This window comes from Homo sapiens, chromosome 8, assembly GCF_000001405.40.
Source record: "Homo sapiens chromosome 8, GRCh38.p14 Primary Assembly".
Classification (NCBI taxonomy): domain Eukaryota; kingdom Metazoa; phylum Chordata; class Mammalia; order Primates; family Hominidae; genus Homo; species Homo sapiens.
Genome location: NC_000008.11, coordinates 117115818 through 117141988, shown reverse-complemented (window position 1 = coordinate 117141988; position 26171 = coordinate 117115818). Strand labels below are relative to the sequence as shown.

General features: G+C 36.2%; 1 protein-coding gene and 1 long non-coding RNA gene across 11 annotated transcripts in view; one reads left to right on the top strand and one right to left on the bottom strand.

The window, feature by feature from the left end:
• SLC30A8 (solute carrier family 30 member 8) overlaps positions 1-26171 on the bottom strand; it is a 226498-nt gene that overhangs the window by 34726 nt on the left and 165601 nt on the right. For 2 of the 6 annotated variants that reach the window (NM_001172814.2, NM_173851.3), the window contains exon 1: positions 6591-6994. The exons of 2 other annotated variants lie outside the window; for them this stretch is intronic. Coding sequence is in view for 1 of the 4 variants with exons in the window: in NM_173851.3 (NP_776250.2) it covers positions 6591-6661 (71 nt within the window). In the remaining 3 variants the exon portion in view is untranslated. Of the gene's footprint in view, positions 1-6590; positions 6995-26171 lie in introns of those variants that run through there. 2 more of the 6 variants (NM_001172813.2, NM_001172815.3) reach the window with 2 other exon arrangements.
• Positions 1-26171, top strand: part of LOC105375716 (uncharacterized) — a 436284-nt gene that overhangs the window by 378732 nt on the left and 31381 nt on the right. The window contains exon 7 of one of the 5 annotated variants that reach the window (XR_928570.3): positions 24203-24265. The exons of the other annotated variants lie outside the window; for them this stretch is intronic. This is a non-coding gene — a long non-coding RNA (uncharacterized LOC105375716). Of the gene's footprint in view, positions 1-24202; positions 24266-26171 lie in introns of those variants that run through there. 5 annotated transcript variants of the gene reach the window in all.

The window sequence follows — 26171 nt, the reverse complement described above, 5'->3', positions numbered from 1 at the left end:
ATTACTTAACCTCTCTGTGCCTCAATTTCCCCATCTGAAAATAGGAATAATGATAGCATCACTCTCATAGGCTGCTTGAGAGATTTTTAGCTAATTCATATAAACCACTTCAAAGTGTAACTGGAACAAGATGAATGCACAGATTATTAAATTATTTCCAGTCTGAATGTCTTTTATTTTGTTGTCTTCCCAATTGCTCTGGCTAGAACACACAGTACCACGTTGAGTAGAACTCATTGAAGTGGACATCCTTATCTTGTACCTGATTTTAGGGGAAAGTTTTCAGGCTTTCACCATAATTATGATAAAAGACTGCACATTGGTACAGTGTACACTGCTCAGGTGATGGGTGCTTCAAAATCTCAGAAATCACCACTAAAGAGCTTATCCATGTAACCAAACACCACCTGTTCCCAAAAAACCTATTGAAAAAAATTATGATATGAGCTGCAAGTTTTTCATGGATGCTTTTGAAGAAGTTTCGTTCTATTTCTAGTTTCACAGGTGTTTATATAATTAAAGGGTGTTGAATTTTGTCCATTCGTTTTCTGCATCTAGTGAGATAATCATGTGAGCTTTGTTCTGTATCCTATTAATATGTTGTATCACTTTGTATTTCAGATGTTAAATTAAGCTTGCATTACTGGGATAAATCCCATTTTATCATTGTTCGTAATTTTATATGTTGCTGGATTCAGTTCATTAGTCTTTTCAAGGATTACTGCATCTGTATTCATAAGGGATATTGTTCTGTAGTTTTATTTTCCTGTGATATTTCCTCCTTTTTTGCTATCAGCAGAATATTGACCTCATAAAATGAGTTGGGAAGTGTATTTACACCTCTTCTATTTTGGGGAAGAATTTGTGATGAGTTAATATTAATTCTATTTTAAATTTTGGTAGAAATCACCAGTGAGGACATCTGGACTTGGGCTTTCTTTGTGTAAGGTTTTATGAAATTTATTAATAATTCAATATCTTTACTTATCAGATTTTCTATTTCTTCTTAAGTTCATATGGTAGTCGGTGTCTTTCTATGAATTTATCCATTTCATCTAAGATTATATACATTTTATTTCATGCAGTTTACTATTAAATCTGTTAAGAGGAAAAAGGAGAACAAATCATTTGTCTTTTATAATTACCCACATTATTACCTTTATTGGTGCTATTATTTTTTAGGAATGATTCAACTTAATATCTGGTGTCATTTGTTTTCTTTAATATTTCTTCCTTTACTATTGCTTTCTTTACTGATTTTTGTAAAGTGAATCCAGCAACAAATTATCTTAGATTTTGTTTGTCTTTATTTCATCTTTATTTTAGGAATATAGTTTAGGTAGATGTAAGATTATTGGTTGATAGGAATTTCTTTTTCTTTTACAGCTTTAAATGTCATCTCACTGCCATCCTCCTTTGCTTCTGGTAGAAGTTGGCTGTTAATCTGATCAGGATGCTCTCATACATAATGAATCTTTTCTTTTTTCTCTTGCTGCTTTCAAGGTTTTTTATTTGTGTTTTGCTTTTAATAGTTTTACTGTAATGTGCAAGCATGTAAATCTATTTGCTTGATTCTTCTTAGAGTTTGTTGACCATCATGAATGTGTAGATTAATATTCAACAAACTTCAGAAGTTTGGGGCCACTATTTCTTTGACTGTTTTTCTGCTCCTTTTTCTCTCTCCTTCTGGCCCTCTTATTATGAATATGTTAATGCATTTAACAATGTACCACATTTCTCTGAGGCTCTGTTGATTTTTTTACTTCATTCTATTTTCTCTGTTTTTCATGTTGCATAATATCTTCCAATCTATCTTCAAGTTCAGTGATTCTTTCTTCTGCCAGCTTCTATGAGTACAGCTCTACTGTTGAACCCCTCTAGTGAATTTTTAATTTCATTTATTGTACTTTTCAACTTCAGAATTTTCATCTGGTTCTTTTTTAAAAAATAATTTCTAACTCTTCATTGATATTCTCAATTTTATGAGACATTTTAAATCATATCTATCTTTAATTCTTTGTTCTTTGATTTTCTTTAATTCTTTTAACCTAGTTATAATAGCTGTTTTGAAATATTCAAATTCTAAATACAACACCTGGACTGTTTCTACTTTTTTTTTTTTTTTTTTTACCAGATGTTGTCTGACTTTCCCTGCATGCGCAGCCTCTGTTGCCATTCCTCAGAAGGTGCATCATTGGGTAGATGCAGTCTTTCTTATCCTCTCCCATTTCCAAGGGATAATAATCATTTTAGTAGTGTTCACTTTGACTGTTTCTTTCCACTATCTCACTGTTAAGTGATTGTTCTGCCTGTGTTGGTATCACACCCAGATTTTGGCCTTCTTAATTGTTTGCTGAATTGTTGCTCTATGGTTTTCAATAATACCCTGAGGTATGAATTGACCAACAATCTGATCCAATTAAATTTGTCTGCTTCAGCTACTATAACAACATACCACAGACTGTGTGGCTTAAACAACAAAAATGTATTTTCTCACAGCTCCAGAGGATGGAAGTCCATAATCAAGCTGCTAGCAAATTCACTGGTGAGGGTTCTCTTTCTGGCTAATAGATGCTTGCCTTTTCGTTACTTCCTCGCGTGGTCTTTCCTTAGTGTGTGCACCCAAAAAGAGAGAGAGAGTGAGCTATCTGGAGTCTCTTCTTATAAGAACATTAATTCTGTCAGATCAGGACCCCACTCTTATAACCCCAATTAACCTTAATTACTTCCTTAGAGGCCCTATCTCCAAATACAGCCACACTGGCATTTGTGCTTCAACATATAATTGTGGGGGACATAAACATTCAATCTATAACAGGCTTCTTTATAGGGGTAATATTTGAGGCCAAATTTTGTGGCTAGTGCCAAATCCAAGAGGGCATTTTTTACCTCTTTTTCTGCCTGTCTTTGCTTAACTTCTAGCTGGTCTGCCACTATCTTGTTGCTATCATGAAGCAACAAGCCTACTCTTAATTGTCCACCAGAAGAATCTTCATTGTTTTCAACAGTGTCCCTATGCTTGAAATACCCTATGCTGTCTTACAAATAAAATTCCAGCTTATGTATCATCAGTCTTCTAAGGGAAAGATACATAGCCCTCTATTCTTATGGCCTGCCTCTCCTATGAGTAGTACCTTTACACCACTGCACCAGAGCTGGCAGAAGAGACAGTGACCTACTTCTCCTGGAGCAATACTCTTGCTCCACAAGTGGAGCACTGAATACGGATCGTAGTCCCTAGTCTTTTTTGCTTATGCCTCCTGGAATACATCCTATACACTATGAGTGATCCAGGGCAGGGATATTCAGGACCTTGCTGCTCCTGGGCTAGAGATTATACCCTATGAGAGGAGGCTGGGTAGAGGAAGGAAACCATAGTCCTCTTGGTCCTGTCTACAATGAATAGAATTTCTGCAACCTGAAGCTGGGACAATAAGAGATTCCAACAGCCTTTTGCTCTAGGGGTGAACTATGATCTTTAACTGGAAGCTGGGAGGAGAGGGAGCCCAGTCTTTTGGCTACATCCACTCAGAGTTGAGCTCTCATCATACTGAGCTTGGGAAGAACAGAGGTTAATGGAGCAGATCTTGGCTCAAATGCCATAGACGCTCACTTCTTACTGAGATTTAGATTTTCTTGAATAAATAATTATTAATTTTCTGCATGCCCTTAAGACAACTTCCAGAGATTTTCATTTCTTTTTTATAATTTTTAGCAGTTAAATAGTTGTTGTAAAGGTTCTAGCAGTTTACCTCTACCATCTATTCCTGCCCTTACTTCCTCTGCACTTCTTCAACATATGGCTTGGGGAAAAGAGAAACTTGATCCCTTCCACCTAGCACCAAGAAAAACATTGATTGTTTTTCGTGTTGTAGTTCAACTTTACACGACTTTTTTTTTTCTTTTTCTTTTTTTTTTTTTTTTTTTTGCTACAATGAACCCAAAGCCCAGAGAATCCCACCAATGAAACAGATTTGGAGAGAATGGAGAGGGTAAAAAAATATGGTTCATGGCACCTACTGGGTCCAATATTACTACTTCCTGTGGTAAAATGCCTGTAAAGATTACCTCCAGCAATTCCTGTCATCCAATATGCACATGCAATCAAGAGATAGAATCTATTGCCTCACCCATGGAATCTGAGACTTGGGACTTGCTTTAACCCATAAATTGTGATAAAAATGATACTGTGCCAGTTCTGGGCTTAAGCTATCTGAGAATGGTCAGCTTCCACTATTGCTCTCTTGCTACTCTGGACTGTCACATAAGGAATTCCAGGCTAACCAGATAAAGTGAGACATCATACAGGGAGAGAAGCCATGGGAAGAAGAATTAAGACCCCCGCCCCAGGCAAAAGCCAACACAAAGATCTCAGTCATGTGAGTGAAGCCATCTTAAACCTTCTAGCCTAGCCCAGATACCAGCAGAATGCAGCCTTCTATTCCAACTAATTCACATGGAATGCTGCCCAAATCCTGACCCAGAGAATCGTAATAAAATAGTTGTTGTTTAAGCCACTACATCTTGGGGTAGTTTGTTGCACAGCCATAGATAAATGGAACACTCCATTTGTGGAATTAGATAATAAAGTTTTCTTCAGAGTAAGTTTCTTAACAGCCAGTAACCATTTAAATAGAAAGCTGATAATAGAAAGTAGAAAGAAAAAGAGGTAGAAGGAGAAAAGAGGAGGAATATCAGGGGATAAAGTTATCCACAACTAATAGAGACAGAACAAAATAAATGAGATAGATTGGTAGAGGTGGGGGAAGAAGTGAGTAAGTGAGGGAATTCAGGGACATGTGACCTAAGGAGGAGATAGATTAAGGATTCAGGAGCCCACATGGTGCATGTATGGGTACAGGAGATGTAGACGGAGAAGGGGAACACTAAATTAACAAGAAGGGGGCCTGGGTCCACAGCCCAGTTCTGTTGTAATTAGCCATCTGCCCTCAAGAAACACATTTATTCTGACCTCAAGAAAGGCATTTGTTCTATCTGGCATTCAGTTTCCTACATGGTAAAATGAGGGATCGAGATAAATAATCTCTTCCAGATTTAATTTATTTCCCTTGACAAGAAAATACAAATGAGTTTGACAATTCTTATAAACACTGTGTCCTGAAAACCATACCTATTTATGGGGTGAATGAGACTTTGTAACTATAAGTGGTTGGCTTATTTGTGCAACAAAATGCTAATAGTCTATGTTAATAAGAAGGGAAATATTGTTATTTCAGTAATGTGGAGATGCTCTATTGATAGTATCCATAGGGTTAACAATTTTTTGTCCAAAACTTCTGCCTGACTTACCACAAGGCTTTGTTTTTTATGTTAATAACCTCAATACATCATATCTAATATTATTTTCTAAGAAAAATAATTCTTCTAATGTGAGATTGCTAGATTCTTTGTTTTAAGCCAAGTTATAAATATCCTTTTTATAAAATCTCTTTGCTGTTACTAAAATATTTGATGCTCCCAAACATAGTATCACTACTCCTTAGAATATTAGTTTGGCTTTGTGAAACAAACAAGAACATTACACGTATTATTAATGGGCAAGTATTCTCTTAAATTCTTCTTCTAACATCAATTCTTTTCAGATTTTCATTAGCTCATTTATATTCACTGAATGTGTTCCTTTTTTGAACCCCATTCAGATTCAACTCCTCAAACAAACCAAGCTCACATTCTTATGTATGTGAAAGTATATTTACTGTGCAATTATCGAAGTCTGGGAAACTTTCCTTAAAACTATTTTCTATGTAGGTTATCCCTAACCCTACTTTAATTCCTTTTTATTTTTAGCTCTTAGCCTATTACTTCTGAGAAAGCTTCCTCTGATTCCAAAGTCCAGTTATTCTTATTGAACACCCTCAATATGACACAAATACACTGTTTTGTAATTGCCTAGTTCTAATATGTATTTCACATTAGACTAAGTTTCAAGAGGACAAAGATCTGAAACTAGACATTTTTTTCTTTCTCATTATAAGTTCTGCACTTACTACAGGTGTGTTCAATCAATAATTGTTAACCAAGTGAAAAATGAATGAATGTATTGCATGTGACACTGTGGGAGACATTAAAAAGAAATGGAATACTTTGTAGAACATTAAAATCAGCTATATTTGTTATAGGTATGTATATTAATAATGATACTTTATAAGCATGAAAACAACAGCTCATTTTAAGATCAATACAACCACAATTTTGCCATGTAGCTGAAGTCTTAACTTTTTCTAAATATAATATAATAAAATTTACTATCTATCTTAAAATTGAGAATAATTGAGAAAAGGAAAAGTAAACAGATTATATAGGTCTATTTTCTGGAATAAACATGACAGATGAAAAACACATCAGTAAAATGTGTTCTTTATGCACTTAGGATATTTAAGGAATCAAATCAACTATATAAAGTATTGCATTTTTCAGAATATAAAATACATGTCAGTCAACAACTTATAAAATGTTCCAGAGTGCCCCCAAGTTGCAGAGTAAAGGCCTACAATTCAGAAGCAACAAGGTATAGGAATTGGATGATATTCAACAGAGAAAATTGTGAAGCAGACACAGACATCTATTACCTTTCTAGTGTGAAAGCATACATCTTGGCAGCTTTATCATTCACAAGATACGTTCTTTCAAGAAACTCCATGACGGCCAGGATGAGCTGCGGCTGTTGTTGTCGTTGTTGTTGAACTCACTGCCCAGTTTTGGAAGCAAAGCAGCACTGCAATTATTTATACACTTTCTAAAGAAAAAATTAAAAGGCTCCAGAAATTAAAATAATGAGCTTCCTACATCAGTGTTGTTGGTAGGTCTGCTAAAATTACAGCCTCCTTGCAATATTACCTGGCTTCATTGTTTTCACCTACAAAAACTGCTTTTCTAGGGAGACTTGCAGGTAGCATTACATGAAGTGTGTATGTCTTTCATATGATATCTGATTCAATTGTGCTTTCTAAGAGGTAGAGGAGCTCAAGAGCTTGCTACAAATTGCTGATGTAGGGTTTTGACCTTCGGAGCACACGTGGGTGAGCTGCAAATAGCTACCATTCGCTACACTAAACTAATTCTTTCTTTTTCTCTCCCTCCTCCTTTTTCTGGACTCTTTATCAGCCTAAAATTATTTCTTTGGAATTTAGTTCTAAGATGACCTCTAAGCAGCTGTCAGAATTTACTTGTCTCTCCTAGGACCATTTTGGGATTTCACTATTGAAAGGGAGGACAAGGGTCAATAGTTTCTGAAACCAGTAATCTGAAAACAGTTCTTGGTACAGCAGCTTTGAAATCCTTTTGATTGGCAAGAGAAGGACAGACTCTGCTTCTACGTAAATAACAGCCCTCCAAAATACAAGAACCAGAGTGAGCTTTGTTCTTCCTGGCCAAGGTACCCTCTACTAAGGATCAAGGATTCACCCAAGGAAACCCTATCAGGCATGCCAGTTCCAGCTCCGAGGAAGGAAGCCTCTGAGTTGCTCCTGGGAGACCTCACACTCCTCAACTCCTAGGAATCAGCATTTTACTTCATACAAAGCACTTTCCTTCCCAAATAAGAGAAAGAACTATAGCCTTATGGCAAGAGCCTGGACAAACAGTAGGCATTTGTGTGTGGGCAAAAGGTTTCAAGACCTATAAAGATGTACACAACGGTAGAGAAAGAGGGGGTTGTGCAGACTGGAGAACAGGAGTAAACCCCAGACCACCAGGTTCTTGTTGCCTTTTCCTTGTGTGAACACTAACTTTCTAGTGAGAAAACTCAGAGTAGTTAAGTCCCAGAATAACCCAGTGGCCCAGAGTCACGGGAAGTTGCCCATTATGCTGAGCTGAGATCTCTCACAATGGCCTAATAAAATGAATATTGTGCTCTAAAAGGAGGATGGGGTTCAATGCCAATTGTCATAGGCAGTGACAGGAGAAGTCACCTTTGGTTCAGAATGAGACTATTAGGTCTCCTATCACATCTGTGGTGTAGCTGTACCTCTTATTATCTTAAGATTTCAAACACTCTCATCTATAACATAAATTCTAAGGTCTTCTCATATGACCCCACTCTTACTGATCCTTAACTTTGCTCACACAGTTTGGAGCCTCTAAGAGGCTCTGGGGGAGCCTTTTCCTTGCAAGTGAAGGCATTGAAATCCTGGGTCTACTGTTAGCAGAATAAAAACCAATGTATTTTTTCTCGTATATTCTTACTCTTAACCTTACAAAGTAATCAGTTATTCTGTGGAGGCGAAAGTAGAAAACCAGAAAAGAATTACTAATCCACCTGTGTGACACACTGCCATATGTCACAGCTTGAATCATTTGTGAATAGTTTCTAGCACAGACAAGAGAAATAGAATTCAAGTGAATGAATGTCAGAAAATGAGGAAACTACTTTAAATCAGCCTGAAATTCATTAAGGGTGAGTACAAAAAAAAGAGATAAGCAATATTTTCAAATCAGGAAGGAGAATATTTGGCTATAGATATCAACAGGAAATAAACAATCTGGAAGTTTGAGATTCCTCCATGCGAACTTTGCCTCTAGTACAAATACGGATGTACAGATCTATTTATAATTGACATACATACATACATAATTGACATATAATTTATAATGAGTGTGAAGGATACATGCCAGGTAGTTAATGTGGATTGCCTATGGGGCAAGAATAAAGTGAGAGTAGGATGGGGTTGATGTAGGACAGGGAAAAGTGAAGATGGGAAAAGAGACAATGAGAGACCCAAGCAAAACAACAAAAAATACTGCTACCCCCTGTCAAAAATGTATCCTATGATCTCTTCTATTTGTCTATAAGATAAACTATATAAGTCCTATGTGGTCTAATATCAGCAATTTTATATGGTTCAACTTAAATATACATGCACACATATATAGATACCTAAAATATATGTGTGGATATGTATGTTACATTTACTAATAAAAATGTACATATTTATAAAGTACTAGGAAATTAATTATGATTTTCATCAAAGATTTATGAATCCCAAAAGTTACTCTTGAAGATGATTACCATAAAGCAAAGCTTCCAGTGTGAGTAGCATAAGAACAGAGAACAGTAGATTACAGCAAATAAAATTATGCTTAAAAAGTTTTGCTGCCATAAATTTAGATGCAGATGTTATGATCAAGAATTGCATATTATATCATGTAAAATATGCATCTGCTGATCACCTTATTCTCTTACAAGTTCATTTTAACTGCACCGTCATTCCCTCTCTCAAATATTTTGTCATCACAACATTTATGAAAAATCTCTCATCCTCCCTGACAAACCTTTGGTCTACTTTGGCATGAACTGCCCACCAAGGGCCAACGGCCTAACTGGGCTCCACAAGCAGCATAGAATATATATTTGGAAAGCAACTTGGATCAAAAAGGAAAATCCCATCCCCTGTAGACATTGGTTTTAGTGGGCATTACGCTGCTCATTTCAGTTTCCTAGGCAACCAGCTTCCAAACCATCCCGAATTACAGGTTGTCTTCTCCGCCCACTCTCCTTCACAAGCTTGGAGTAACTGAATGGGAAACACACAATCTATAACAGCTACCTGTGGAAATAAGTATTCTGTCAGCCACAAGAACATCACCAACATCACTGAAGAACTGGTTTGGCTCTTCAGTCCTAGCTGTTGTCAGCAACAATTTCTTAATAGGGTGTTACAAACAGTAGCTAATACTTGTGCAAAAATAATTTCACAAGTATCTTAAACATTGTTGGATATTTCACTTGTAGAAAGGACATATGGATTTATAAAAAGCTACCATCATTATCCCTAGATACTAAAGTACCAAGTACTTACAATTTGTGTTCCCCATATTTAAACTCGTATTTCAGAAATACTTCATGTTGCCAATGTGTGCATGCAACCATCTTTTTAAATCAGACATAGAAATGTGCCTGTTTTTAAATAACAAATGTGGACTTTCATCATGTTTTGCTTTTTCCTGTTGGTGTGGAGAGGTAGTGTGGTGAAGTGGTTTAATATATGGGTTTTCAAGTTAGTTAGGTAGACAATTTTAGTTTCCAGTTTGACCACTTTCTTAGATATGTGACCTTGAACAAGTTGCCTGACCACTGTGTTTTTCCGTTTCTCACCTGTAAAATGGGAGTATTAATCGAATCCATCTTACAGAGTTCTTGTGAAGAGGAAAACAGATAATATGTATAAAAGTTCTTAGCATAGTCTCTGATATATAACCAGTTTTATGTAACTGTGAGTTTCTATACACTGGGCCATGTCTAAGTAAAATGTTTTGGCTATTGCTGAGAAATTGGCTCCAGCTTTAGCAGAAGGCTAAGAATTACCTGTGAATGAAGCATCCATCAAGGAAATAAAGGTTATTGAAAAAGGAAGATCTGGGGACTTCAGCTATCGGCTCTATGACTTTGGGTAGATCTCTCAAACCCTCTGGACTCTACTTTCTCAAATTAGATTGATGTCTGCCTCATTCTACCCCCTCACCAGTAGAGTGCCATTCAGAATGATCTTCACTATGGAGCTGTCTTCCACAACAGGGGAGGCAATTCAAACTCAACCAGTGTAATCACCCACTAAAGATTCTGGACTCATGCATTCTCACATAACTATAAAGATCTTATTATTTCTAAGTTGAGTAGTATTTTCTTAGCAAGGTAGCTTTATGGTTATTACTACAGTGTGAGTATTTCAGAGGTTTCATCTAGAAATGTGAAAACAAAGACATTAGAAATTTAATTGGATTGTATTTTAGAGAGCATTATGAAAATTTTATTTTAATCTAAAGTAAATATGTATAAAACACAAACCATTTCCAATATTTTATACACTGCTTGAAAATGGACCGAAAGCAATATGATGTTTATTTCCTTCTTGATAAATTAGGACCATGTAATTTTTTTTACTATTTCTATTTTTCAAGCGATTGAGCTATAGGAATGTTCTGGTGAAAATGCAATTTGTATTTGTTAAGAATAGAAAGACTTGATAAAATATTGATACTAAAAGAATAAAAGAAATATTTTATTAAGTCTCATAGATGCAAATAAATGACAGAAAAATGAACTAGCATTATTTTTGGGGGGAGAAATATTGGGGCTAGCTGCTTGAAGTGTTTATGAAGTGTATATTTCTTCAATTCTTCTCCATATACCACACTTCTTTTTCCAAGCACTTGCAAATTTGAACTAATTAACCCTCAAAAACGCCCTCTAGGTGAGATATGGTTGTTATTTCTTACAAACTCCAAAACAATGGCCTTTTGGCTTCATAATCTCACAACTATATGTCTTTTTATTTATATAAAAAGGCAAGAGAGGATTACAAAGAACCTATCCATTATTTTAAAGATTAGAATAGAAAAGTAGACAAAAATATACTTTCTAATATTCCAACCCCTTGGTCTATAAATGCACAGAGCATCACTGAAGACTAAAACATTAAATGCTCAAATTTAATAATAATAATAATAATAGAGCCCTCTTGTCATTATCTGGAATGCCACCATTTAATTTTCATGAGCACTGTTTATTTTCCTTCAGTGAAAGGTTTTAGGGGATCATAATTCATCTTTGGGAAATGGATTTTCACAGAGCATTCCCAGATGAATACCAACAGAGCAAAGGCAAAGCTCATCGTCTCCTCTGAATCTCCAGGCCTGGCTTTATTTGACTCCTGGCTGACAATACTTTCTCTCAGGAGATAGTCCAGGAGACAAGACAAAGCTTCCTCAGAGCTTTCCCATGAAAGACTGAACCGTTGCTTTTCACGTTGAATCCAAAATGCATCAAGGGACAGCAGCTGTCTTTCCTGCTTGGAAGCACAACCACAAGGCGTTACAACTAATTCATCTCTTCTTTTGGTATTAGTGAATTTGCTTCCAGTAAGTCTACAGTTTAAAATGCTGCTAATCCAATTGTCGCAAATCTCACCACTACCATCAGGAGATGAGTTATTTTAATCTGTATCCAATGAAGACAAGTGAGGCACCTTATCACCTTTTGCAACCCTAAACTCTCGACCAAGTCACCCAGATATTGATCAGTGAGCAGATGACAGGAGCTTCCATTTCCTTCGCAGTCAGCTAACTCCAAAAGAGAACAAAAATGTTTATTTAATTATAACAAGCAAACACAAAACATTATTGAAAACATTGTATTTAGCAACAGATTTTTAAAAGCCTTATATACCTAGGATAATATTCCCCTTTACCATTCAGAATCTAAAGCAAAGATTATTCTCTGAGTCTCCACCAGAAATATAATACGTTATCATTCACAAAATAAAAATTTCATTTTAAACTTTCATATTAAACTGTTAAAAAATAATATCAGGACACAATTACAATGTTTTCCTATTTTAGGTATTACATATATATAAGAAAAATCAATATGACAAAGCAATATGAAATTTTTAATAAGAGTTGTTAGAATGGAATTTGGAATAATTTGCATTTCCTAGTCACAAGTTAGTTTCCCAAGAAACCTGGTGAATAATAAACTCAGACATCCCTTGAACTTTTCCTATGGAAGGAAACAAAAGTAGAAATCAATTCTATGATTAAAATGATGTCCCAGTGGATACTAATTTTCCATCACTTCTTAGAATCATCATTATATGGATATTGCTGACAACAAATGAAGAATATTTATTTTTAATCCACTTTATACCATACAGTCATTTCTCCTAATTTTTTAATAAACACAAGGCTCCCAACTAAAGTGAGGTACACTGACTAGTCCTAAAGTTTGAGCACAACGGATTCATTGTCTGCTCAAACACATCCATTGCAGTGCTAACTGGCCAGATGAAAAGTCCTGGAGCATTCTACTTTTATTCAACATAGTCATTAGCTACTAACTGAAACTCCTTGCTGGGTAGATGTGATTATCTAATTGCCACCCAACAGTGTATTAAATTCTGCTCTGAGGATAGTTCTTCTCAAGACTAGCACACCTGACACCTGAATCCAGCCCAAGCACCCATTTTAACTAACGTTACTGCTGAAACTAACATGTTTTCATGCTGAATGCATTCAGTTGGTATATTTGTAGGCTGTGAGTTCGAATTCTTTCCCTCTCACTGATTTTCAGTGTGTCACTGAATATGTTTGCTTCTTTCCGCCCCAATTTCCTAACCAGAAAAAAAGTGAATGATACCACTGTGAAACCTCAGAAAGCTCTTGTCAGTAAAAATAATCCCCTTTTTCCTTCATACTAAAGGAAACACTTCCCAAGTATTTTGTTGTGTACACTATTTATGCTAAGGATTGAGAAGTTATTTCTTGCTAAAATAAATAAATTGTACTACCAATTAACTGCCAGCTAAATAAAACTTTTAACATTTTTTTAATTTAAAAAGTAACACATGTGCTCAGCAAGGTGTTTTAAATTTCAAGAGTGTAGACAGTGGGCAGCAAGTCTTCTTCTTACCCTAGGCAATAATAACACAGGGAGCATATTATTTTTTAAAAGAATATTCTGAATGTCTTTATCAAATTCTTTGTGTGTTTATGAGCACACACACAGACGCGTGCGTGCGCACACACAAGCACACACAAGCACACACACACACGCCTTTTTATACCAAATTTGACAGACAGCAGTCTGGTGACTATAAGGTAGCATCAGTAATGAAGCATCAATAATGAGACTATTTCCTTTCCTGTGGCAGCTGCTAGGAAACTCCTAGTCCTCTGCCTCCTGGACTGGGAAGATGTGATGTTTGTGGCCGCTGTGCCATAATTCCCCGTAAGTCAGCAAGTGCATGCCCACTTCTCACTCACTTCTTGTTTACTAGCAAATTAAACAGACTATAGTTCACAGAAGTGGTTTTTCATTGGGAGAAAACTGAAAGAAGAAAGCAAGGAGCCCTAGGAGATAACTCAGGTAATTGCTCAACCCAACAATCGCCACGTTCTCTTCTATCTATGCCTTAACAAAACTCCTACTTCTAATGGCTAAGCTCTAAGCTGATGCTAAACTCAAGCAATTTAGACAGATGTAACTTCTGCTCTCTGAGAATTTATAATATAAGAGAGAATTGCCTTTGAAAAGAAATACATTGGTACTGGGTGATATACAACTCATTGCAAGCTAGCAACATGTCACACAGCATTGCCAACATTTTATCCTTAAAGTATATAAATTCATTCATAAAACCAGAATAAAGACGGAGGAAGGAAAAAAGTAAATACCTCCAGGCCAGTTACCTTCAGCATCAACACTAAAAATTAGAAACACCTATCTTAGCCCCTGGGATTATTAGATCTGACTCTGTCAATCAAAAACAACATCACACACCACACATCATCTGATAATTTCTCATGGCTTTAATACTCTCCAGAGCCTGGAATTACAGATACAAACTTATAACATTGTGCTGAACAGTTAGACAACTTAAAATGAAACATTTACTTTGTCATATAAATTCAAATATTTTCCTGTCTTTCAGGAAAATGTCACAAGAAGGTGAATCTTTTCCTGCTTAGTCTAATTGTGAGAGACAATGACAGAGCACAAGAAATAATGTCTCTTCCAACAACCTAAGGGCAATATTATATTTGTTGCTCTACACTGCAGATCTCTTTCATGAAGAGTTTTAGTTATTGCTCTTCAGCATAGTGTTTACAAACACTCAGCAGCTTATTATTCAGTAGATAAGAGGAAATGGGAAGATTACCAAAGAAAAAGTAAGTTAAAACATTAAGTAATGTGAAAAGACTAATTATAAGTATGAGCTGCCCATCATTTTTCCCTAAGAACTTCCACATGAGACTTCTTTTTCCTAGGTTTCAAAAATAATTTGGAACGCGTACCAATTAGGTACGCGATGCTTAGCTAAAATGAATACATTTATATACCTGTGGATAATCTCATAAACAAAAACCCAAGGACAGGTCCAGTGGCCTCTCTTCTAGAAAGCAGTATGGTGTGTAATGAATTGTAGACAGTTTCCACTGAACTGGCTACTTTGCTTTTAAAATTGGCACTCAAGAGTAAGCTTCAGTTACCTGGAAATGGCGCTATTAGATGCCCCAGTACTGTCGCCTTTGCCTGGAACATGTGCTCTCCCGCTGACTGTGCACACAGATGCTGCATTCTCATCCTGCCAGATATCACCTCCTCAGACAGCCCCTCTTAGATCCCCCTGTGAGAAGCACAGTGAGCTCAGCTATTTCGAGTTTTTCCTTTCCACACTGTGCTCTTCATTCCTTTCAGCACCCTTATTGTTATCTCTCTTCCATCTTTAATTTTGTTTGTTTCTCATCTCATCTACTCCTATGAGAATATAAGCTGTTAGTGGCTAGGGGCTTCAGCTCTTTCCACACTGTTGTCTCCCCAGTTCTTCATAAACGGTATCTGGCATATCATGGGTGAAGAATATATTTTTTATAAATCAATAAATGGATGGATGGATGGATGGATGGATGGATGGATGGATGGATGGGTTGGTGGATGATGGATGGAATGTACTGATGAGAAAGCCATTACATAGTGAGTGATTCAGAGTAAAGCCTTTGAAGTCAGAAGACTTGGGTACCATTCACCAACCGGGTAATCAAAATCTTTCTGAACCTGTTTTCTTACATATAAAATGGGGATAAATGATTTTTCTCTAATCCTAATTTCTCTAAGATATTTATAAAAATTAAATGAAGTAATTTAAATTTCATATATAAAGCTCAGAGTAATTGCTTAATAAATAAAGACTATCATATTAATACTTCATACATAAAACCAGCCTGTTATCATGTAGGCAATTCTGCCTCATCAAATAAAAAAGAAAATCACAAAGTACTTTGAGATCTAGTTGTCAAGTCAACTAACATGGAGAAAAAGCTACACTTGATTGGACGTTTTTTGCCATAAAAAAATAATATTTGGAGTTGGCAAGAATATTAAGCTTGAAATTGCATTGCTAACTGGCAGGTTTTAGTTTCTTCTGTGCTTCATCGAGGGGGGAAAACACAGCTAGAGAGAGGAGAAGATCGTTGAAGCTGATGCATTCTGGGAGAAAACAAAAAACTCTGACATTCACTAGATCAATTATTATACACCCAGATCCTCTTATTACAGATACTATTTTAATTTTTTCTTCCTAAAATACAGAAATTATATTGCCTCTTCTTTTACTAAAACTTGCAGAATATGTTTTATTCTAGTGCTATTTAAATTTAAGTACATTTGTACTGTATATATGCATTCTTAAATATATATGGAGAGAACCAATTTATTATGAGACATGAGGAGTTCTACATTATTTCTCATTGGTGCAAAACTAATTGCCTTTTCTCAGTCATTGCACAGATCTTTATTTTTCCATTTTATCATTCTTGTAACTGCAGCTGAAATTAGTAAAGGGCACAACCACCTGGCAAAATCTGGAGCAGGAAGCTTTTCATTTCCAAGCATCCTAGCCACACTGATTTTCCAACCTCAAGAGATGCTGCTGATGGAGGTCCCTCATAGTGCCACTCCTGCTAATAGCACAAGTTTCCCATACACATCTCCATTCACAAAAATATTTGGTCAATTTTTCTCTTGAGCTAAAAAGACAGTCCTAACATGTTAGTGCTGTCTGAGGCTCAAGAAGTAGGAATGGAAATTAGTGGCATAAACTACTGGTTCCTCTGCTGACCACATTAGAGTCACACAAATCTGGGCTCATGTAAAATGGAGAAAGAATGATAAAAACTGTAAAAGAATGGAGTAAATGAAAATTACCAAAACCCATAAGACAAAACTACATATGCAAATTTGGAGACTAGATTCAAGAATCTCAAATGCAATCATGGCAACACCAAAACTTCTTATTCTGATAAAAATCCTGTATATATTCTGATTAAACTACCTGGAGATCGGTTGCTCAGTTTGTTAGTTCTTAACCCTCACCCCAAGATGCATATCAAATTATTTTCCCAAATGAAAAGAGTTCTTTCACTAAAAAGAAATTCTGATGTTAGAATTTTGGTATCTCAATATTTTTTTTATTGTTGATGTTTTCCTTCATTTCATTAGATGCTATGTATGTAATAATCTTTACTGATTTTTTATTTCAACTTTTATTTTAGATACAAGGGGTACATGTACAGGTATGTTACATGTGGATATTGTGGGATGTTGAGGTTTTGGGTATGGATCCCGTCATCCAGGTAGTAAGCATGGTACCCAATAGGAGCCCACACCCTCCCCCATCTAGTAGTCCACAGTGTCTATGGTTCTCATCTTTATGTACATAATGTGCTCAATGTTTAGCTCCCACTTATAAGTGAGAACACACAGTATTTGATTTTCTGTTCCTTTACCGTTATTCACTGATTTTCTAATCTTTTTTTTTTTTTTTTCTGGATACAAGGGAGGACTTCTCTGCCCTTTTGAGATTGGAAATTGGATGTGGTCATGTTGCTAATTCTTCCCAATGGGTTGAGAGCGAAAGTCATATGAATTACTTTTTGGTGGAGGTATTTAAATGCCAATGTGAGATCCCACAGCTCTGATTTTGCCTGCTGTGGCAACCATGAAAGCCTGTGTGGAAACTGAGCCTGCATGAGCCCGGGTGCAGGAATAGTAACAATGAATCAGCAGAGCCTCTCTACTGACCTGCATTGGGCTTGTAACATGAGGGGAAGCAAATCTTTGTAGCTGTGAGCATCTGAGATCTGTTGCTCATTTGTTTGTGCAGCATCAACTAGCCTTTTCTGACTAATATAATATTCTTACTGTAAAAGCATGGCACAATCCTTTACTCCCCTCTCCCTATAACTAAAGATTCATCTCCCTAGACCAGTTTTTACAATCACAGGAATGAGCTCATAAAACAGGTTCTATCCTTTCACAATAATCTGTATGAGTCTCAATACATGAAAAGGCACTACTTTTGGAAAATGTGCTCCTGGGAAGCAGTTGGTCCTAACTCCCATCCACACTCTTCCCCAGCTTTGCCTCTCCTGGGACATCTCCTGTCAAGAGCCTATCATGTTGAAATTAATCAGGCACTTGCTTCTCAAAGATATAATAAGAATGTGCACACCAAGGGTGAGAGATGAGAGGATTCCCCACAGCAAGTTAACATACCAACTGCACTAGCCAATACCCAATGCAAGCTCTTTGTTCAATTTCCTCATCAATAGTTTCCAAAATCTTCAATGTCCTTTCAGCCATTTATAAATGAATTGAGAAATTAAAATAAGCAACTTTAATTATGTTGTACAGCAGATCTTAATGTGAAGTACATTAAGAATGACATATTGTGTTATAAAATTAAAATGTGATATTGTACAACTCTGTCAATTTACTAAAAATCATTGAATTATACACTTACGTGAACTTTATTGTAGGTGAATTATACCTCATAAAAGCTGTTAAAAATGACAAAGTAAAATATGTAATTGCTATAAAGTATAATTTTAAAAATCAAATATTGCTTTACATTATGAAACTTTTGTATTACTCTTCACACAAAAAGTATCTCACAAACTTTTATTTCCACATTTCAAGAAGTATGATCATTTTCCCAGGGTATCAATGCCTAATAATGAAATTAGTTCAGGTTTCTAATTAATGCTACATTTAAAGATTCCTTCATGCTATTTTAATATTGATAGCCTGTTTATGTAAATGTCATCCATTAGTCTCATTCTGATGTCTGTTTATGCACTGCATAAAATCAGCTAGATTACATTTTTAAAACATTAAGGTATTTGGTCAGGGAGTAGACCTTTAGTCTCTGTGTCATCTGAATAAATGAGAAGGTTTAAATGTAGACACATCCTGTCTGTCGCCATTATTAAAACTTAGACCCAGAAGAGGATGGTTAGTTTCCCAGTGGCAAGGAGCAAATGATGAAAGTAGAGGAGATGAAGCCTGACCTGAGGTCTGCCCTCTAAGGTGAGACAGAAGACGGAGAAACTTCCCATTAATTCATTCAACAAATATTAATTATGTTCCTAGTCCATGTCAAGCAATGGGCTTAGTGATAAAGGTGCAACAGTGAATAAGTCCAACTGGTTCCTCTCCAGTGCAGTGTATATTCTAATAATATAAAGGAACGCCCAGTACATTGCAAAAACCATCACAAGCTCCATCATGATTTGGGAAGCAATTGACTTAAGCATTTCTAAAACAGAGGAGCAGAGTCCACAGAGGGGAAAGGAGACTGTGGTTCTCTGTGGAAGAAAGGCAGTCTGGTCTTCAACCAGGACACCAAAGACACGACAAAGCTCTGTGATCCTTGCCAGAAAAGAGACTTAGACTTCAATAAGGGAGGTCTTCACTAAAACACCCAGAGCCTGAGTGTGGCATGTGGCCTATAACTGGGTTCCACTAAAAGTGAATAAGACAATGTTTAAAATTGCCTACCTCAACTGTGCATTCATCTGGGGCCACAGTAGATGTCAGTACTCAGATGAAGAGTGCTTGTAGATGGTAAGCCCAGCTCTTGGAAGCAATGAAGAGAACAGACAAGGAGAGGGAAAAGTTGGATGGTTAAGAGTTACAAGCCTTGTAGGTGAAAGGCCTGGGTTTGAATCCCAGTTCTGCCATTCATGAGCTAGATAACTTTGGGAAAGTGATTTAATCAGTTTCCTTATGTGTAAAAGGTGGACAATTATAACAGCATCCAACTTACTGTATTGTTGTAATTATCAAGTGAGATAATGAATGGTGCTTAGAATAGTGCCTAACACTTCATAAGCTCTCAAGACATGTCACCTATTATTAAAGGATGTCAGGGCCTAAATGTTGCAGCTGTAAGCAATTCTCTTAATCTCAATTTCCCACATACAATCCTACTATAAAGCAATTAGAATAAGTCTATAGGCCTTACAAAGGCCAGTCTTATCACTGCTTCTAAGCCTCAGTTACTAATTAGTAATTAGCTTAAGTATAAACACCCAATAAAGCAATATGACATAAAAAGGGCCACTCTAATACCCTGATTTCCATTTCAGTTAAATTCCGCATATCATAGAGGATAGTGACAAACTACATTTTATATGTTTTTTATTGTGAAAAACATAAGACCTACTCTCTTAAGAAATTTTTCTGAGTGTATAGTATTGTTAACTATCAGCACAATGTTTAGGTCTTTAGAACTTTTCCATGTTGCTTAACTGAAACTTCATACCCACTCAACAGCAACTCACTATTTCCCCTCCTCCACAATCCCCGGCAACTATCATTCTACTTTTTGCTTCTCAGTTTGACTGTTTTAGACACCTTGTATGAATGGAATCATGCAGTATTTGTCCTTTTGTGACTGGCTTATTTCACTTAGAATGCCTTCAAGGTTCATCCATGTTGCAGTGTAGGAAGGTGCTACAGTCTGAATGTTTGTGTACCCCTCCAATTCATGTTTAAATCTAATCACCAATGCGATAGTATTAGGAGGTGGCATCTTTGGGAGGTGATTCAGTTCATAAGGGCAGAGTCCTCATGAATGAGATTGGTGTCCTTATAAAAGAGGCACAAGAGAGAATCATGTGAGGACACAACAAGAAGGCACCATCTGGGAACTAGAAAGTGGGCCCTCCCCAGACACTGAATCTGCCATTATCATCATCTTGGATTCCCACCCTCTAGAACTGTGAGAAATAGATTTCTGTTGTGTATCAGCAGCCTGGTTTATGGTGTTTTGTTATATTAGTCTGAATGGACTAAGACAGCAGGATCCCCTTCCTTTTTAAGATTGAATAATATTCCATTGTATGTATATACCATGTTTTCATTATCCATTCATCCATTAATGAATGTTTAGGCTACTTCCACATCTTGGGTATTGTGAAAAATGCTTCAATAAACACAGGAATGCAAATATTCTTTGAGATACTGATTTATATTATTTAGGATAAATACTTAGAAGTATGATTGCTGGATCCCATTGTTCTATTTCTTATTTATTGAGGAAACTTCATATTATTATTTTCCATAGTGGCTGCAACATTATACATTCCCAGTGACTGTGAGTAAGGGTTCCAATTTCTCCACAACCTCAGAGACCCTTATTTTTTGTTTGTGTGTGTGTTTGTTTTTGATGGCCATCCTAACAGGTGTGAGGTGATATTTCATTGTGGCTTTTCAGGTGCATTTTTCTGATGATTAGTGATATTGAGCATCTTTTCATATACTTATTGGCCCTTTGAATATATTTTTTTGGAGAAATGTCTGTTCAAGCCCTTTGCCCCTTTTTTAAACCAGGTTATTTGGGTTCAGAGGTTTTGGGTTTTTGTTGATTTTAGAGTTTTTTTTAGAAGTTCCCTATATATTTTAGATATTAACCCCATATCAGATATATGGTTTGCAAACATTTTCCTTTATTATGTAGGTAGCCTTTTTTATTCTGTTGATTGTGTCCCTTGTTGTGCAGAAGATTTTTAATTTGATGTAGTCCCACTAGTCCATTTTAGCTTATGTTGCCTATGCTTTTGGTGTCATATCAAACAAATCATTGCCAAGACCAATACTGTAAAGTTTTCCCCCTATGGTTTCTTCTGTTTCAGATCTTATGTTTACATCTTTAACCCATTTTGAGTTGACTTTTGTGTATGGTTTAAAATAAGGGTGCAATTTCATTCTTTTGCATGTTGTAATTGAGTTTTCCCAACATCATTTGTTGAAGACACTATCCCTTCCCCATCATGTATTTTTGGCAACCTTGTCAAAGATCAGTTCACTATATATGTGTGGTTTTATTTCTGGGATCTCTATTCTGTTCCATCGGTCTGTATATCTGTCTTTATGTAAGTACTATACTGTTTCAATTACTACAGATACGAAATATGTTTTAAAATCAGAAAGTGTGATACCTTCATTTTTGTTTTTTCTCAAGATTACTTTAGTTATTTTGTGTCATTTGTGTTTCCATACAAATTATAGGATTTTTTTTCTATTTCTGCAAAAAATGCCATTGTAATTTTGACAGAAATTGCATTGAATTTGTTAGTCACTTTGGGTAGTGTGCACATTTGAACAATATTAAGTCTTCCAATTTATGAGCACAAGATGTCTTTTTATTTACTTATGTCTTTTCTTTCATCTATGTTATGTTGTTTTCAGCACATAAGTCTTTTACCTCTGGTTTATTCCTAAGTAGTTTATTCTTGATGCTATTGTAAATGGGATTGTTTTCTTAATTTTCTTTTCTGATAGTTCATGGTCTGTGTATAGATGTATAGAAACACAACTGATTTTTATATGTTGATTTTATATCCTGCAGCTTTACTGAATTTATTTCTAAAAACACATTACATTTTATCTTAATATAGCACTGCTGTACTACTATAGCTTCTACCATCTCCCAAAACTCTCTGTCTCCTGCAAGGGTTTTAAGGATAAGGCGTTATATATTAGCCATGGAGAATAAAACTTAAACTTAATGATTATGCATACACACAGATGATGTGATATGGGAGTAAGGTGGGGCAGGGGAGGTTGTGGCACAAAAGAAGAGTGACTGAAGGGGTGATCACGTAGAATAATTCCTAAAAGAATGTAGTCTTCTCTCATTCCCCTTGACTTCCTCTTGGACTAACATGGGTGTGGCAAATAGGGAGGTTACTTCAGCAGCCAAAACCCTGGCATTGGCCAGCAGTCTCCTTTCCCCTTTCCTTTAGAAACTCAATCTAAATTATGAAGATGGGGGAAAAAAGCAATATGGACCGACTCCCCAAAGATTCTAGCCCAAGGTGGATCTCCAGTAATTCCCTAACATAAAACAGATGAACTAAAGGTGTTGAAGACGACAGCCAAAGCTGGGAGTTGCTTTGGGAACATAATGGATCTCTGAGATGATTGTTTACTGCTAGCCTCACAGTATCTCAGCATCACATTCAAGTTTCTCTTAGCCTACTAGTAGAGCCTATCTGGAACCTTTTCCAGAACACTATTTCTGATACAGGTAATCAAAACTTGGACTGTCCTTTTCAAATTAGGCCTCTATATTCCTTACCATGGGAGCCAAACAAAAGGAGGCTAACTTAGTTGACTTCTACCCAATCCGAATCCCCACAGACATTAGGCCTGTCTCAGAGGCCCATAGGAATTTGCCTTATTTCCAACACCGCATCTTTGAGTGAGTTTCGATGTTAACTGAATTGTTTACACTATTTTCTTTCTATAAATTTGCCAGAATTTTACCATCACCTGACAGCAATGCAGATGAATGACTCAAATTGTTGTTCAGTTAATAAAAGACCAGATTGATAAGTAGTTTTACACATCAAAAGATAATAATGATATCTTTCAAGTGAGGAGGTATGCTTAGAAAAGGAACTAGATGTGTTTAGAGACACACTTGGAATGGCTATTTTTTAATATATTTGTGCAAAAAGAAAAAAGGAGCCTGCTGTAAAATATGCTACCAAATATACATTAGGCTGCTGTAGACTCTCAAGGTCTGAAAATATGACTTATCTGGCTTGGCAATGCATTAAGAATGCTCCGTGGTTAAAAAAAAAATGAGCTATTGATCTTAGAAGATTTTAATTTAGATTAGTTCACTTAAAAGTGTAATAAATGGCAGAGCTCACATGTTGAATCACTAAGGCAGCAATTATTTTAAGAGTATCAGTCATCTGTGCTTCCAATTTAATCAAATCTCTTTATAGAGTTTTTAGACAGTATTTGAAATAACCATATAACCTCTCTGTGAAAAGGTGTTTTGAGTTGTATGTCAAAAGTTGAAGAGAAATTAGAAAGACAACTTGTGATTTTAAAAGACCAATGATGACAGATGGGCAGTTGCTTTTATTTTATCTGAGAGCAACTGTTATTTTGCAAGGTTTTTTTGTTTTTTGTTTTTTGGTTTTTTTTTTTTTTTTTGAGACAGAGAGAAGGTATACCATCTGAACTGAAAAAGTAACCCAAAATGTTTCTGAGTTAAATTTGCAACAGCTAAGTCTTTAAGAAGTTAGAACAAGAGTAATCACACAATTTTGGTGACTTCTAACAAATAAATTCTTGCTCATGTTCATAAGGAAAAGACAGTATCTCAGCATCACATTCAAGTTTCTCTTAGCCTACAAGTACAGCCTATCTGGAGCCTTTTCCAGAACACTATTTCTGATAGAGGTAATCAAAACTTGGATTGTCCTTTTCAAACTAGGCCTCTGCAAAGAATTTGCAGAGCAGGAAAGTTAGCATTAACTTACAATTTTACCTTAGATGTCAAATATTTAGTCTGAATGGACTTTTTACCTCTGACCTCTTCAGATTTTAAAGAAGATGTCATCATATTGGTTCGTGAGATGCTGGTAGCTCCCTGCTGAGATGAAGACAGGCCTTCATCCCTAGAGCTAGAACTGCAAGTTCTCCCTTAAGTCCTATAAAATTCATTTAGAGCCATCTTTCCTGACATCTGTACATAAAGCAGTGTAAAACATTACAATATAAATTACATCTGGGGGATTCATCTGAAATTCTATTTCACTGTTAAATAATTAAAAGTTGAAAACCTCTCCATAGCTTTATTGCACTCTCTTAACAAGACTAAAATTTTTTCATAAAGCATCTTCCTTCCCAACAGTGGAAGCCTTTGGTGCATTCTGCAGAAATGAGTTTAGTAATTAATAAATCGGATCCTCTGGGACCTGACTCTGTGGCTGAAGCTCTTACTGAGGTGATGTTACATATTCAGAACTCCTAAATTATCCACATATTTAGAGTATATGAATTTACCATAACTGTCTTTTTTTTTGTTCATAAAATTGGGATGACAATAATACCTGTTACATAGGGTTGTTGCAGGATTAAATAAGTTAATATAAATAAGTGCTTAGAAAAGAGCCTGGCACACAGAAAATACTACAGTATCAGCTATTGTTTTAACTGTTAGTGGTTTTGCATTATTCAGAAGAGCCCTTTTGCTTCATATAAAGATAAATTATTCTAAAGATGGGTCTTTCCTCGGAAAGACAAAAATGCTGATAGCTACAAATTATTTTTCATTACCTTTTTAGTCTCAGGCATTTCTGGAGGGCTACAGCATTCATTTCTGAGGGCGTAGAAGCCACAAGATGTAGGAAGAAACAGTATTATAAACCATTAGGACTGTATAGGTGGGGTAGTTTCAGGACTTCTAAGAAGGGCTCTTGCCCAAATACTGGCCTTCTATAACCTTGACTCATACTTGCATTCACTCACATGAAACCATTGCTCCTATTCAAATGCACATTCTTAGCAAATAAACATATGAAGTCACTGTCTCCTATGGACACTTGAGTGTAAACTAAACCATCAGAACTTTTCTGATTTCACTGTGATGGGTACCTGAGAAAAGACTTTGATGGTGGCAAGAAGAAAAAGAGTAACTTCAAGGACAGACAGGTTACCTACCAGTTTGGGAGGCATGCTGGGAGTAATGTGTAATGAAGAGTTCTAATTCTAATTCTTTATATAAAATCCAGACACACCTGAAATTAGTACCCAAAATTATGCTACTCATGCATTCTGATATGTTTTTTGGAGCAGAATAGAAAGAGTACACTTACAGCTAAGATACTTAGAATTGCCTTTTTCTATCTTGCATTTCATCTGAGCCGTTGCCTTATGAACAGGAGTCACACAATATGCCATTCCTAGCTTCAGTAATCATAAATGATAATTATACAGAATTTCAATTGTCCGTGACATCAGTATTGTTTTAGTATTTTAGTTCAGTTTAATCATATTCTGGAGCTGCCTGTGAATTGGGTATTTTTTAGATCAAAACATGAAAACCACTATTCTGTCACTTCTAATCAAAGCCCTCCAGTGCCATCCCATTACACTCAGAACAAAATTCAAACGCCTTGCCATCACTGCCTACCTATAAGGCCTTGTAGACTTCTTAGGCCTTGGGTCATCCTACCTTGCCCAAACACAGCAAACTCCAACCACACTGGTCCTATTGTCATTTCTTGTTTTTATCTGAGTCTTTGCCAAAGTCTTCAAGAAAGGGCGTACAGAAGTTTGGTAGGGGAGCTCTTCTCCCCTCCACAAAAATCTCTACTAACCCTCCTTAAGCCACTCATAATATAAACGCACAACCAACACACAATATAAGCAAAACAATGTGCTTGCTCTGCAAATGCAACTTCCAGACAAGTCCCAAAACTCCCCCTCCTGTTAGCCCACCCTCAAGCACTTCCAATGGCTTTGCATCTGCATTTCCTCTCTATGGAATGAGCCTCCCCAGATCTCA